General features: G+C 40.6%; 1 non-coding gene across 1 annotated transcript; it reads left to right on the top strand.

The window, feature by feature from the left end:
* The first annotated feature begins 371 nt into the window (after positions 1-371).
* On the top strand, positions 372-498 carry LOC124900504 (small nucleolar RNA ACA64). Its single transcript, XR_007068446.1, has one exon. It is a non-coding gene; the product is annotated as a small nucleolar RNA ACA64 (small nucleolar RNA).
* Positions 499-1408: the final 910 nt, after the last annotated feature.

Here is a 1408-nt window from a genome sequence, read left to right as displayed (position 1 = left end):
TAACAAACCTGCATGTTGTGCACATGTACCCTAGAACTTAAAGTATAATAAAAAAAAAAAGAGATCCTGTCATTTGTAACAGCATGGATGAAACTGAATATGATTATGTTAATGAAATAAGCCAGGTGCATAAAGACAAACTTCACATGTTCTTACTTATTTGTGGGATCTAAAAGTTAAAAAAAATAGATTTCATGGACATACAGAGTAGAAGAATGGTTACCAGAGGCTGGGAAGTGTAGTGGGGGGCTAGCAGGGGGTGAGAATTGTTAATGAGTACCAAAAGATAAACATAAAAGAATGGTCTCTCTGTCTGGGTAGGTCCAGCAGTGTTGGCCACACACATCCCACTAGTGGTTGGGGTCACTGGCATTGGTTGAATATCACCCCTGGCTTTGGCCATGGCCATGGGAGAGATTTGGCACCCAGAGCCTCCAGGGGCCTCAGCTCAATGTGCACTGCCCCATGTGCAGCTGTGAAACCCAGGCCCTGATGGGCACTGTGGCCTCTGCCCCATTGTGGCCACTCACATGGTCTAGCCCCTGGGTCTGGCCTCCAACCCCTAACTGTCTTCTCTCTGCAGGAAACTGGTCCTCCCACACCTGAGCCCAACACTGCCAGGTCTGTGGAAAGGGGGAGACTCAGCTGTTTCTGTTTTTCAAATAAAACTGTTTGTCTAAAAGAAAAAATAGAAAAAAATGGATAAAACCTACTATTTGATAACACAACAGGGTGACTATAGTCAATAATAAGTTAATTGTACAGTTTAAAGTAACTTAATGAATGTAATTGGATTGTTTATAACTCAAAAGATAAGTGCTTGAGAAAATGGATGCCCCATTCTTCATGCTGTGCTTATTTTACATTTAATGCCTATATGAAAACATCTCATGTACCCCATAAATATATATGTATACCTACTATGTACTCAAACAAATTAAAAAATAAAATAAAAAGCGTAAACCAAAAATAAAGTTCTAAGCCCCCCAACTATCTAAACAGACCCCTCTTCTTGGTTGAAGGCATTCCAAAATTAACCTGATAAACTGGTTTTGGTCATGATGGGAAGTGAGGGAGGTGTGTAAGACATGCCTCACAGCTGACCAGCGTGCACATCAACAAAAGACCTTAAGAATGATAGAACAGACTCTTTAAGTCTAATCAAACAAATTTACTATCTATTTTCCATGAAGTGTGCTACCTGGGGGCTTCATCTACATGATAAAACCTTGGTCTCCACAACCCCTTATTATAATGCAGACACTCCTTTCTGTTGATTCCAGGTGTTTATATAATAACTCTTTCAACCAATTGCCAATCAGACAATCTTTTAATCCACCTGTCACCTGAAAGCCCAGACTTCCAGTTGTCCCACGTTTCCAGACAAAACCAATGTACATTTTACATG

This window comes from Homo sapiens, chromosome X (genome assembly GCF_000001405.40).
Source record: "Homo sapiens chromosome X, GRCh38.p14 Primary Assembly".
Lineage (NCBI taxonomy): Eukaryota > Metazoa > Chordata > Mammalia > Primates > Hominidae > Homo > Homo sapiens.
This window is presented reverse-complemented; position numbering and strand designations above follow the sequence as displayed.